Source organism: Homo sapiens, chromosome 13 (genome assembly GCF_000001405.40).
Source record: "Homo sapiens chromosome 13, GRCh38.p14 Primary Assembly".
NCBI lineage: Eukaryota > Metazoa > Chordata > Mammalia > Primates > Hominidae > Homo > Homo sapiens.
In genome coordinates, this window is record NC_000013.11 from 75,576,056 (window position 1) to 75,590,722 (window position 14,667).

General features: G+C 34.2%; 1 protein-coding gene across 10 annotated transcripts in view; it reads left to right on the plus strand.

The window, feature by feature from the left end:
- The window catches only part of UCHL3 (ubiquitin C-terminal hydrolase L3), a 56,519-nt gene that overhangs the window by 26,554 nt on the left and 15,298 nt on the right, over positions 1 to 14,667 (plus strand). For 5 of the 10 annotated variants that reach the window (XM_011535214.3, XM_011535212.2, XM_011535213.3 and 2 more), the window contains one exon: positions 13,883 to 14,074. The exons of the other annotated variants lie outside the window; for them this stretch is intronic. In XM_011535214.3, coding sequence (XP_011533516.1) covers positions 13,883 to 14,074 — 192 coding nt within the window. The remainder of the gene's footprint in view (positions 1 to 13,882; positions 14,075 to 14,667) is intronic. 10 annotated transcript variants of the gene reach the window in all.

Genomic DNA, 14,667 nt, shown 5'->3' on the forward strand with positions numbered 1-14,667 from the left:
CTTTCAATAAAAGTTTGACAGCTAATTTTGTAGCAGTTCTGTTAAGACCAGTGTTTTATATTAGGCTTAATGTGACTATTTATATCCTAGCTTGGGATAGGAAACAGATTGTGTGAGAAATAGTAAATTGATAGCTTTTCAGTTACTCCTGAATTTTATTTCTTTTTTCTTTTTCATTATTATTATTTTTCTGATGTGAAGTCTCGCTCTGTCTCCCAGGCTGGAGTGTAGTGGCGCAATCTCTGCTCACTGCAACGTCTGCCTCCCAGGTTCAAGCAATTCTCCTGCCTCAGCCTCTCAAGTAGCTGGGACTACAGGCACGTGCCACCACACCCGGCTAATTTTTTGTATTTTTAGTAGAGACAGGGTTTCACAGTGTTAGCCAGGATGGTCTCAATCTCCTGACCTCGTGCCTCAGCCTCCCAAGTAGCTGGGACTACAGGCGCGTGCCACCACACCCAGCTAATTTTTTGTGTTTTTAGTAGAGACAGGGTTTCACAGTGTTAGCAAGGATGGTCTCGATCTCCTGACCTCGTGATCCACCCGCCTCAGCCTCCCAAAGTGTTGAGATTACAGTCATGAGCCACCGCTCCTGGCCCTGAATTTTATTTCTTTAAAGTGGGTTCATGATTGAGTTTTGAAGCACTGTGTTACAAAAATTAATAATAGACATATAAAGCTAAGCTTTCAATTGACTAATGTGTTGGTTGTGTGTGTTATTGTAATGTGTAGCCCTAAATGAAATACGGTTGAATGTTCTACTAGAAAAATAGTTACTGATTTTAAAATTAATATAACCTGATATATACGTGCCCAGTTAAGAAATTTAAAAATGAATGTATACAGTTGGCCCGCTGTAATGGTGGGTTCCTTACTTGTGGATTCAACCAACCACTTAATGAAAATATTTGAGGCTGGGCATGGTAGCTCATGCCAGTAATGCCAGCACTTTGGGAGGCCAAGAAGGGAGGATCGCTTGAGGCCAGGAGTTTGAGACCAGCCTGGGCAACATAGTGAGACCCTGTATGTACAAAAAAATTAGCCAGATGTGGTGGCATGCACCTGTAGTTCCAGCTACTCTGTAGTTGGGAGGCTGAGATAGGAGGATGGCTTCAGCTCAGGAGGTCAAGACTGCAGTGAGCTGTGATCATGCTGCTGCACTCCAGCCTGGGTGACAGAGACCTTGTCTCAGACAAAAAAGAGAAAAAATATTTGGAAAAAAAAGATGGTTGTGTCTGTACTGAATATATACAGACTTTTTTCTTGTCATTATTCTCTAAACAATATAGTATAACAACAATTTTTATAACATTTACATTGTATTAGGTATTACAAGTAATCTAGAGATGATTTAAAGTATACAGGAGGAGGTACATAGGTTATATGCAAATACAACACTATTTTATATAAGGCTTGTGAGCATCTGTGGATTTTGGTGTCTTCAGGGGGGTCCTGAAACCAATAGTCCGTGGATATCGAGGGATGACTGTGTATTCACTCCAACTGAGACCTTTCTGAATAACTGTAGAATAGTAAGATTGGCAGGAAGTTCCAATTTCATATGGTTTGGGCTTCCACTAAAGTGTCTAGTAGATTAGAAGATCTCCTTATTTTAAGGCTTTTCTATTCACAAAAGATTCTAATAAGTGTTTTTAAAATTGTGAAGAAATATCAGTGATGTAATAGTGGAAACAGTCTGCAAGTCAAATGTGAAGCCAAGAAAGAAAAATCCAAAAGGGTATTTTATTTGCCTTCAGACCCTACTTTTACTTCATTGCCACTTAACTAAAAAGTAATTCCTAAAATTTGTGATTTGTCCATATTAATTGAGGAGCCAGCCCAGATATGGGTAGAGATCACCTTATGATTTATTGTTTAACTTTTTAAGTTTGTTGTACTGCCCAGAACCCCCCCATGTAAATTAATAATAATAATGAAAAATAACAGCAGTATTGTTTTCTGTTTTTAAATAAACATACCAGTATGGAAAAAATAGCAAAAGACACTTTTTGCATCTATGTATATTTGCTACCATTCTTTTTTTAGTACATTTTAAGAACAGTTGAGATCAAGCGATTTTATTTGACTTTTTTCTTAACATATTACCATGAACATTTTTTTTGTTTCATCAAAATTTCCTCATTAAAAAAACCTTTGCTACTGTATACTATCATGTGAGTAAACCACAATTTATTTTTCATTTCCTTAACTTTTGATGTTTAGATTATTTTTAGTTTCTCAAGTTAAAAATATAACTTAATTGAATATCCCTGTTATCTAAGTATTCTTTTGGGTAGCTTCTTGTAGGTGGGATTACTGATTCAAAGGGATAAATATTTTTATGATTCTTGTTAAATAATGTGAAGTTGTCTTTCTTTCATTTGTTCAATCAGATAACCTGTTTGAGCACCTACTGTACTAGGCACTGTGCTTATAATTGTACATACAAAGATAAGTGAGACATAATTTGTGTCTTCAAAGATCTTTTACTTCAGTGGTGACTGCAGCTTTGAAAATCGCTTGCCAGTATTGAATTCCATTTCTAAATTTTTGCTTGTTTAATAGGGGGAAATAACATGTTTGATTGCTAATGATACTTAAAAGATCTTTAGTAAAAGTTTTTGAAGTTAATTTAAATCATAAAATATGTAATTAATTTACAATGAAATATTAATATGTAATCTATTTTGGTTAGTGTTGACCTATAAAAGAGGGATTATTTGACCACTGGGGTAAACAGTGCATAATTTCTGATTTCAAGTATGTCATCATAAATATATATACATAATTAAAGATACATGTGTGTGTTTGTGTGGGTGTGTATATTTTTAATTTAAGAAAATCCTCTGTTTAGAATCTACTGGGCTTTTTTGGCCCAGCCAGTACAGACTGTCAGTGGCAGTAAATAGTATAAAGTTTCATCTTCATTAGATGTATATGTATAGTTGCATGGCTTCATTTTACTCTGAAGTATAGTTTTTAGTTATTTTTATTATTTTGGGATTACAAAGAGATAACAGAAATCATTCCAATAAGCCAAAAATGATTTACGCACAAATTGAGGTGCTCACATATTTATTTCCCTCCTTTTGGAATTTATTTCCTCTTCCTTCATTTTGAAAGAATCTGAGGATATTAGGAAGAAGCTTAGTTCTTAAATAATATAAAATTTAAGTTGCCGATTATCTTGTAAGAATCAGGCGGAAACAATACATGTATCATGCGGTTCAAGATGTAGAGTCCAGTTTTGTCAAAAGTCTGAAACTGCAACTTTCTGATCTTTGTTTTTCTTTACTTTTCATACCTCATTTTCTTTATTTCAACATGACTTAATCTTTTGGAGGCGATTTTATTTTATTTTATTTTTAAAACCAAAAATGCTCTGGGACTCCCTAGCTTGTCTCTGTCTCTCTTCTATCTTTTTTTGTTTCTTCTGAACATTGCTTGAATAGAGGCCTTCCCTTTCCCCTTTTCTCTCCCTCCGTCTGTCTTCCCTTCTTTTTTTCCTCTCCATTTCTCTCCTTTCCTCCCCCCTTCTTTCTTCTTTTCTGATCTCAGAATTTTAGAAATGGAGATATTAAATTATTACTTATTTTAAAGGAAAATTCTTAGACCGAACTTACCAGTTCACACTTCCAGATCTGACTAGATGAAACTCGTCTAAGAATGCTTTCAGCAATAAAAATAGAACTGATGTTGTGTTTGGTGATGGTGAAAGTTTTCTGTTAGTTTTGTTTTATATCACAACTTTCCAGAGTAGAGGGTAATGTTAGGATATAAGATTTTTTTGATTTGTAATAAAGGAGAACTTTATTTGGGGCTACTCTCAAACTGTAAAGAAAATAATTTCTGGGAATTAGTTTGAGAAGTTTAACAATGGTAAGCTTAGGTTTAATGTAACATTTAGATGTACAGGTATTATATTAATAGATATTTCTAACATGGAGAATTATAAACTGAAGGGAGAGAAAACATAATTGTTAAACCAGTCAGGGAAAAAAGTCTTTTTAGAATATCTTGATGTCTGTGGGCATCTTGATTTATTAGGTGAGCAAAATGAAGAAACTTACCATTATCCAGATTTTCCATGGAATATGTAGTGGTATTTTGTGTATTTTGATATCTATCCCATATTTAACTTGTGACTTCTTTGCCAACCGAACATGGATACTCTGTAGGAAACTTTGCATCTTTTGTATGGATCTGGCTTTAATTTCCTTTTTAAAATTTGAACCTTAAATTTACTGTAATCCAATGTATTACACTGAAATTTACTAAAAAATCTACAGAAATCCATTTAGAATTAATTTATAATTTTGATTTTAAACTCATAAAGTTATACATGTATGTGTTCTCATGCATGCGCACACACATGTCCTTACACATATGTGTACACACATTTATAATCTAATTTTCAAAGCATTTGGTAGCTCTAGAGATGTTCCCAATTATTTTCTTTTCCATGTGCCATATTTTAGACTCAGCGGTCTTGTCCTCTCCCTCTCCCTCTCCTCAAAATTGTTCGAGGTGCTCACCAGCTTTCAAGTATTCTCACCTTCTTAATTCTTACTCCTTTTGAAAGTATGTCTACCATATTATTATAATGATGGTTACCATTTTCTGAATTCATGTTATGGGGCAGGCTAACTAAGTGCTGTATCTACCCTAGTTTGATCCTCTCAACTCCGTAAGATAGCTGTTACCCCATTTTGCAGATGGGAAATCTAAGAAGCTGCTAATATATTCAAGGTCACACAGCTAGTAGGTACTCCTGTGCTCTTAAGGCAACAAAACGTGTAGGTAATACAAATTGCTGAAACTAAATAAAATGAGGTTTTTAAAATTTGAATTTCTGTTTTTGCCTTAAAAGCAAGGCTATTCACAGCTAGTAATTTAAGGCAAATATGTAATAAGTTACAAATAGTCATTCAGAGTTGTGCCGAATACTTTGTTCTTTTTTGCCGTTAACATCTAAGTCAGTTCTTATTCAGTACACTAGATTTTTTTTTCCTATTAACCGGAAATCTTACCCATAAACCAGCCACAGTCTTTTGGTAATCATGTTAGGTATATTTTAGAAAACAGTAATTATTTTAACTATCTACCCACTAATGATCCCTTCATGTTCAAGAAATTACATGGTTATAAGGATATTTTTCATAATAATAGTATGTCCATTTAAATGAGAAAATGCTTTGGCTGTAAACCAAAACCCACTTACTTTATTTTAGAATTTTAACATAATTTAGATTTAAGCACTTGGAGTACCCACCAAACTAAACACTTGATTTCTTTTTTTTTTTTTTTTCCTTGAGACAGGGTCCCATTCTGTTGCTCAGGCGGCAGTGCAGTGGGTCGATCTTGGCTCCCTGTAGCCTTGATCTCCTGGGCTCAAACCATCCTTCCACCTCAGCCTCCCAAGTAGCTGAGACCACAGGCATGTACCATCACACCTGGCTAATTTTTTTTTTTTTTTTTTTTTTAGTAGGGTGGGGTCTCCCTATGTTACCCAGGCTGGTCTTGAACTCCTGGGCTCAAGTGATCTTTCTGCCCTGGCCTCCCAAAGTATTGGGATTACAGGTGTGAGCCACTAACAAAACACTTGACTTCTTCTTAGGCAGACCCTCTGCTTTGTTTGATTTTTTTTTTTTTTTTAAGTCTGGATCATTTCTTTTTAGCCTTTACAGCATTTCAAATACGTTGGTTATTTTATTTAAAAGTTTAAAGAGTAATTTATTCATTTTTTGCTGTATAAAAAAGTGCATGCACACTAACTGTGAAGGAAAAGTAATTTGGCCTTTGAGGACGTAGGTGGTGATTGTTGTTGTTTTTTGAACTGGTTTTAAGTTTGACAACCAGAAGATAGATTTGGATTATATTCAGGAATTCAGATAGAAATAGTAATAGATGTGCCCTTATGAATCAGTCAAATTAGTTGACAGTTGATGGGCGAGTGACCTTGCAATGGAAAACACTGAAATTGGAGCTGGGAGTCATGAGTCTGCCTCTGGCTTTCACACTCACTAGTTATGTGGCTTTGGGCAAGTCAAGTAGGTCCTTGTGCTTCTGAAAAAACCAAAACTGTCATGCTTATGGTCTGTATTCTCATAGCTCACTTTCTCTGTGTGTGTAAGTGAATGTGTGTGTGTGTTTAAACTCAGAGGATTTAAATCAGAATTAATGCTTAAAAATCTCATGCAACAATTACTTATTAAATATCTTGGCATTCTTCCTGAAGAGTAAAACATTTAATCTGCATTTTAAAATTCCTCAGGTTTCTGAAAAGCCTAGTCTAGGTTTTTTTGAACTATAATGAAGAGATGAGTTTATATTTCATGTAAAGTGGTGTATCTACAGTCACATTATACTGTTGCAGTGCCCACATAGTCAGCAGTGAGGGCACAGGTTCACTGTTAATGTCCTGGCAAACATTGGTGTCGTTAATAGTTTTGATGAAATAAATAATTGTTAGTGATTTTGGACTCTTCACCAGAATGAAAAAACTGAGGAAGTGAGTTCTTTATTCAGACTATCTAAAAAGTGAACTCTCTTTAAGACTTTTATGAAAGATTCAAAAATAAACTGTAGACATTTAATCTTTTCCAATTAGTATGGAAGACAATGTGAAAAATTAGCCATCTAGCTCAAGATTCAGCTCACAGTTTAAATTTTCATATTTGAAAGCAGAGCTAAAAATTAGGTTGCTTTAACAATTGCATTAACAGTTAATATTATAAGGATTTAAAAGTTGGTGTATGTATCTTTAATCTTTGTAATTCTAAGAGGAAAGCCTGTGAATTTTACGTTTCCATAATAGCACACTTTATTTCAAAGTCCTTCCATCTCTTGAAATGTTATTGCTTGAAAGTCTTTTTCTGAATTAGATCAACTCTTTGAAATTGAAAATATATATGATGTACACTGTTATGTCTATATTATGCATTATCTCTGGAAATTATACAGTTGGAGATATTTGTATAGTGCGTTCATTTAGCATGAGGAGGTAAAAATAAGTCTGACTAGAGTAAAAATTTAGAATTATTGATTCTAATGTTTTAACATTTTGACATACTTGTTAGAAACAATCTTTAGTATGCTATCATAGGAGCAGTAAGGTAGTAGACAAAAGCTTTGCCTGCCCCCAGGCCTTACAAAGTAGTTTAAAAATAAACAATTACAATATATTGATATGCTATCCTATTTTGAATGTTGTAAAACATTAGTCACATACAAACACACACACCCACAAGCTTTGACATATGGGACTCATTTAACAGAGTGTACTTTTAGACTCATTATCCTTTTCTTATTCCTTCCTCTGTTATATAAGTTTTTATTAGAAAACATGATGCTCAAAAAGAAGGCTAAAATTACTAGTGTGATAACATTTGGGGAAAATTATTCTTTGTCTTTAAAATAGAAATAATTATAATATGTACCTTATAGGATTATTGTGAAGATCTGTAGCATCTATAGTTTAGAACATCTGGTAAAAGATAGTAAGCACTTGATATTAGCTATTATGGTTGTTGTTTTATAACATCATTTTGGATACCAATATTATTACTGTTGACTGATGCATATATAGATACTTGTGTGCACATTTTCACTAAAGCGTAATTGTAGAAAACCAGAAACAAACTAAAGGTGCAGTATTACATTTATGGTATGTCTATTTAAGGAATAATATGTTGCCATGAAAAATGATGTAGAGATATACTTACTGAGATGAATAGAAGCCCAAAATTTATGGGTAATGAAACAAAATAGCTAAAAATTTTAACAAATTGCTTAAGGTCAAAAGTAGGCTACCATAAGACTATAAAATTCCTGTAAACAGCCCTGAAGGGAGAGCTCATATCCACTCTCTGCAGACCTCAATGGGTGCTCATGAGATTAAGTGGGGACAAGATGGGAGAGAATCTTTAAGTGCAGGCCTAGGGGAGGAGAGCAGTTGCTGCTGTGGGAAAGGCGTGAAGCCTGGATTCTTCTCTCCTGTAGAACAAAGCCTAAAGACCTTGAGACAGAAAACCTTTCCTGGGGAAGGGAAGAGATAAAACCACCCCTTTTGCGGGAGGGGCAGGTTCTTCTACCACTGGAGGAAAAGACCCCTGAGAAAGTCTTGTCCTTGATATCCAGGGACAGAGGCTGATCTACAACAACAAAGAATGCCTCCACAAGCCCACCATTAGACTAGCAAGCACCAAGAAACAGGTCTCAAATGTGTGGGGATGGGTCAATAATATGGAGAGAGACCTTCTCTGAGGCATAGCCTCTGAGCAAAAGCCTAAAGCTGAGAGTGGAACAAGAGCATTGAAAAAGAAAACATCCTACAACCCAACTTCCACTCTAAGCACAAGGTTATGCCAGATAAATTTTAAACCAATGGTATTCTCAAGGTAATCATAGCAACAATAAAACCCAAACAGTAAACTCTTGACTAGGTTGGCTTATCCCCATACACTAAGTTGTAGCAGAAGATGAGACACGCCCATTTTTAGGCATACATATTATTTATCACAGTCTCTATACTCCTAGAGAAGGTGTCTGGCTTTTAACCAAAAGCATTCAGCAGAGCTAGACTCATATATGATCTAGATGTCAAACTATCAGACAGGGAATTTAAAATAATTAAATGCTCAAGTGGAAAAGATGGAAAACATGTTCTATCACATGGGTAATATCAGCAGAATTGGAAACTATTAACATAAGAAAGAATCAAATGGAAATGCCAGTAATGAAAAATACGGTACTAGAGATGAAGAATGCCATTAACAGATTCACCAGTAGACTCAACAAAGTTGAGAAAAGAATCGGTGAATGTGAAGATAAATCACTGGAAATTACCCAAACTTACTCACAAAGGGGAAAAAAATAGTGGAAAAGAGGGGGAAAAACCACACAAAACAAACAGTGCATCCAACAGCTGTGGGACAATTTCAAGTGATGTAATATGTGAAAATGGAATCCCAGAAGGAGAAGAGAGATGGAAAGATATGATGGGGGTGGGAGTGGGTGAGGGGTGGGGTCTTGAGACAAAAAGTATTTGAAGGGTAATGGCCAACTATTTTCCAAAAATAATTACAGACATCAAACCACAGCTTCAGGAATCTCAGAGACACTAGGTAGGATGAATACCCTTATCCTCCAAAAAACAAACACACATATATACCTACTGAGATACATTAAAATTCAAAGATAAATGGAAAATGTTGCTGAAGAACAAAGATAAATGGAAAATGTTCAAGGCAGCCACATGAAAAAGACAGAGTAGATACTAAGAATTCATAAGAATTACAGCAGACTCCTTACTAGAGGTTATGCAAGCCAGAACACATAGAATGATATTTTTAGAAAGCTGAGTTCAGTGGAACAAAATATCTTTTAAAAATAAAAACTTTGAGACAGACAAAAACTGAGAGAGCTCATACCAGCTTACTTACACTACAAGAAATGTAAAGGAATTTCATTATGCTGAAACAGTACAATGCCAGACAGAAACTTGGAGCTATACAAAGATTTAGGAAGCATTGAAAATGGAACAAATGAAGGTAAATATAAAATAAATTTTATTCTTGTTTTACATTTCAGTAAAAGATGATTAGGATTACTAAATCAAAGATAGCAACTATGTACTATAAATTTATAGCACATATAAAAATAAAATAAGACAATAGCACAAAGGGAGGGAGGGAGAAATTGGGATAATACTGTTGTGAGGTTCTTATACTACATATGTAGTGGTGTAATACTGTTTGAAGGTACTCCGTAACTAAAGATATATCTTGTAAATCCTCAGGCAATTACTGAAAAGCTTAAAAAGTATAAACAAGAAGCCCACAGTACAGATAAAATAGAATAATAAAAATAATGCAAAAAGCAGAAAAGTAACAGAGCAGATGGAAAAAATAAAGAACTGACAATGTAGATTTAAATCCAGCCATATAAAACATCACATGAAGTTAATGAAATGTCAGTATAAAGACTCAAATGTCTATAAACCCTCAAATTGAAAGAAAGATCAGTTTAGTAAAAAAGCAAGACACAATTATATGCTGTTTACAAGAAAGTCATTTTAAAAAACGTAAGAAGATAACAATCAAAAGGATGGGAAAAGATGAACTATACAAACACTAACCAAAAGAAAGCTAGAGTAGTTATATTGACATGAAGTTAAGTAGACTTCAGAACAAGAAATATTCCCAGTGTTGAAGAAGGACATTACATAAGGATAAAGAGGTTATCTCACCAAGAAGACATAGCATACACGTAACAGAAAGTATGTGTATGCAGCTAACAATTAGAGCCTCTAAATGTATGAGGCAAACACTGTTAGAACTGAAAAGAGAAATAGACAAATTCACAATTATAGTTGGAGATGTCAACACTCAGAATCAATAAAAAGATACAGAACATTACTAAAAAATTGAAGATTTGAACAACATTGTCAAACAACTTGACCCTTTTGATATTTGTGGAACACTTCAGAAATTTGGAATACAACAGTTGAATATACAGTCTTCTCAAGTGCACATGGGTTAGTTACCAGGATAGACCATATTCTGGATTAAAAAATCAACCTTAAATTTTTTTAAAAAATTTAATTTATACAAAGAATGTTTTCTATTCATAGTGGAGTTAAACTACAAATCAACAATAGAAAAATATCTGGAAAATCCCCCAAATATTTAGATATTCAATAGTACACTTCTAAATAATTCATGGATCAAAGAGGAATCACAAGAGAAATTAGAAAACATTTTGAATTGATTGAAAAGAAATATACCAAAATTGACAGGATACAGCTAATGCAGGGGTTGGAGAGAAATCTATAGCATGAAATGCTTATAGTAGAAAAAAACAAACAAACAGAGGTTAGAGGGAAACTATAGTATTACATGCTTATAGTAGAAAAGGGAAATGGCTTCAAGTCAGAGATCTAAGTTTTTACCTTAAGGTAGCAAAAAAAAAAAAAAAAAAGAGCAAATTAAATCCAAAATGCATAAAAGGTAGAAATAACAAAGGTAAAAGCAGAAGTCAATGAAATTCATTACTGTAGTAGAGGTCCTAGCCAATATAGTAGGGCAAGTAAGGGAAATAAAGGGAATATTGTTTAAAAAGGAAGAAGTAAAGCAGTCTCTAATCACAGAGATCATGACTTTTTAAATAGAAAATGATTTATTAAAAAATGGAGAAGGGCTTGATGTTTAAAATATAAAAGATAAAGACTGTTAGAAATGTTCCAGGTTAAAAGATACTAAGGAGACATGATGAATAAATTTAATATCTGTGCTTAGATTAGATCCTGGGGGAAATGCTATAAATTACACAACTAGATAACTGGCAAAATTAAAATATGGGAGATTAGGAGAAAGTATTATATCAATATAAAATTTTGAGGGTGATAACTGCACTGATATTAATGTAAGTTAATTCCCTTAGTCCTAGGAAATACTGAAGAATTTAGGATTAAAGGGCCATGATATATGTAACTTATCTTCAAATGATTCAGGAAAAAAAGTTATGTAGAAAAAGGAAAAGAGTATAAGTGCAGATGATAAAGCAAATGGAAGTAAAATGTCATAGTCAAATCTGGGTGTTTCCTGTATTATGCTTGTTTTTGTAACTCTGTAAATTTGAAATTATTTTTTTAAAAAGAAGTTTTCAAAAAGGTTCTTCAAAAATGACAAAAGAAGAGGGCCATCATACCTGAAGTTGGAAATCACATTTCTCACAGGTGTGTTTGGAGTAAGCAACCTTAAGGGATGAGGTAATGTCTTTGCCTCTGGAACAAAGAGCCTGTTTGCTTACTGCTTGCTGTAAACCAGTGGTTTCCCCCAGCTCAGTATTCCTCTCTTGTAACACAGCCTATTCTTTTGCAACCATCCACCCTAGCTCTGTCTGTTGCTCTCATGTGAATTGCCACAAACGTATTGATGATCATGCTCCTTGCTGTGCTATAAGTAATAATTTTTTTTTTTCTCTGACCCAGGCATCTCATGCCTTTTGCCAATACCCATGAAAAAGTAAGAGGCTAACTGATTAAATTGAAAGAATAAACTCAAATTTCAGATCTGACAGATTACTCTTCTAAACATGTCTTCCTTATTTCTATTTCTGTTCTTTTCTCACACTGAATTCTTTGCCAAGAATATTTTCCCATTTCACCCATCCCAACTTTATATATTCTTTCAGTATACAATGCTGGTTTAGTAATATTTCCCTCTCTAGATTCTTAGAAATTTTTTTCTCCACTATTTATTAGTCACCTCTCCTTCTATCTCTTCCTTTACATCATTTATTTCCCCTTTTTATTCATTGCCTCTTTCTTCTTCCCCTATTCTTTCCTTCTCTCTTTCCTGTTATTTGAACATAACCAGATTGAATGTGACAAATTTCTTATTAAACTATATCTGTGAGAGAAGACATTATCATATACACTTTTGTTCCCATATAGAATCAAGTATAGGATTCATTTATGTATTTTTGATTGACTGATTCTTATTATGAGCCGCTAAAATGTTCAAACATATTTTTTAACCCCGCATCAAAATGATAGCTTTTTTTAAAGGTTAGTATATTGTATATTTAGATTGAAGGTACTAAGTAGGATTAGAGAATTTTCACAGTTGACAAGAGTTTTAAAAATCATTCGGAAAGTAAAACTCATGTTCCTTAAGAGAAATCTATTATGGTTGTTACGGTTAGCAAAATCTATTATCACCAAGCAAGGATTTATATTACCATTCTTTTTATTTCTTCTCACTATGATTGTAGTGATTGTAATTTTGTCATACTCCCTCAAATTTTTTATTTTATATACTGGTGTTATTAATCCAATGTGACAATTATGAAGTCATTTGGATTACTACTATTATGTTATCATACCCTTGTATACTTTGTAGAAAACTCTTGGCTAGATTTTCCTTTTGTGGTACAATAGTGTTTGAAAAGGTGTTCCCAAAATACCTAACCTTATCAGAATTATTTCTCTCCTTAACAGTATGTGTCCCATGTTAGCATTAACATATTTTTCTTGGTCACTTTGGGTTTACACCACAGTGATTAAGATCATTGGACTCTAGAACTTGATTTCCTGGGTCTGAATCCCGGTTCTGTTACCTACTGGCAATGTGACCTTGGTTATGTTACTTAACCCATTTGTGCTCTGATTCCTCATTTGCATAACAGGAATAGTTGTGCCTGTGGGTTACTGGAAGGTTAAATGAACCTATATATGTCAAGTCCTTAAAAAGCACCTGGCATAAAAAAAGATGCGTATTATATTTAATGATATTGTTTCCTAAAAGATAGCTAAGAGGCCATGATATTTTCCATGTAACCTGTCAGCCTAAGTAGGAGGATAGTTTATTCAGATCGTCAGCTTTGGAGGAATTAATTTCACTCTTGTTTATATTTTAAAGTTGGCTTTTTTTTTCTTCTTGGAGCTTATTCCTTTTAAGGAATTCTTTTTTACCAATGCCTATCACCACACAGTTTTCTTCTACCCGTTATTCTTTGTGCATTTTATATGCGTTACATGGTTTTTGTGTGTGTGTTACTTTTTAAAAACATTTTGATGTAATAATTTTAGTGGCTTTTACATATTAATTTCCATGAGTCTGTGCTATGCAAATGAGGATATGTGAATATTATCAATGTACACATATAGAACTATGGCATATAACCTGATACTTGGTTATATATTTCCACTTTACCTGCTTTTAACCAATATTCATACATGATCCTTTGCTAGATAGATTATGGTTATTAAAAATAGTAGACCATATGAATTACAAGCATGACCATACGTTGCTTTTAAGAATAAATGATCACCCAGTAACGTGGTCTAAGTAAAATATTCTCTTTTTTAATTATGTAGTCCTCCTCGCCATCCTCATCACAGCCTCATTCTAGCCACTGCAGAACGAAGGCCTCATCATTGTGTCACCATGCATCCCTGCCCTGGGTCAAACGTAACCATGTAGGCCCTGCAAAGGCTACCAGTCCATCTCTCCGTCTTCGTCGCTGGCGACCCTTCTTACGTCTACCATCTTTGGGTCTCCATTCTGTTGTAAGTTTAGTCAATCTTCCGTCTCTTCTTCCAGTGACAAGGGCTGTCTTTTTTTTTTTTTTTTCTTAACTTCGGTCTTCAGAGTGCTTTTCTCTTGGTTCACTCAACCATTAGCTTTTTCTCCCCCAATAAGATTGCAAGCATATCTCTATGCTTTGCATTCTAGCTTGACTTTTGCCAGTGCCTCAGAACATCCATCTTTCCACTCCATATCCTGCCAACATAACGGCACCTGCCTTTTGATGAGCACTGATCCACATTCATGATAATGTTTAAGTCTGGTTAATTGTTAAAGTGAATATGTGTTCTGTTACCCTTCAGCTTTCTGAATTCATTTAGTTGACTCAGGTCAACAAATGCTGTGTACCTTCTGAGTTCTTTGCCATCTATTACTTTATTATTATTATTTTTTTATGTTTCTGAGCATGACTTTAGTCTCTTGCCATGCTCTGGGGTTACTTTACTTACTCTATTCTCAATCTAAATCCTTCATGGTGTAGGGTGTTTCATCTAAGCTATTATTTTATTCCCTGAGGTGGCTCAGGTACTTGGTTTAATCTTGATCTGATCTTTCCTGCCTATTCAGTTTCTAA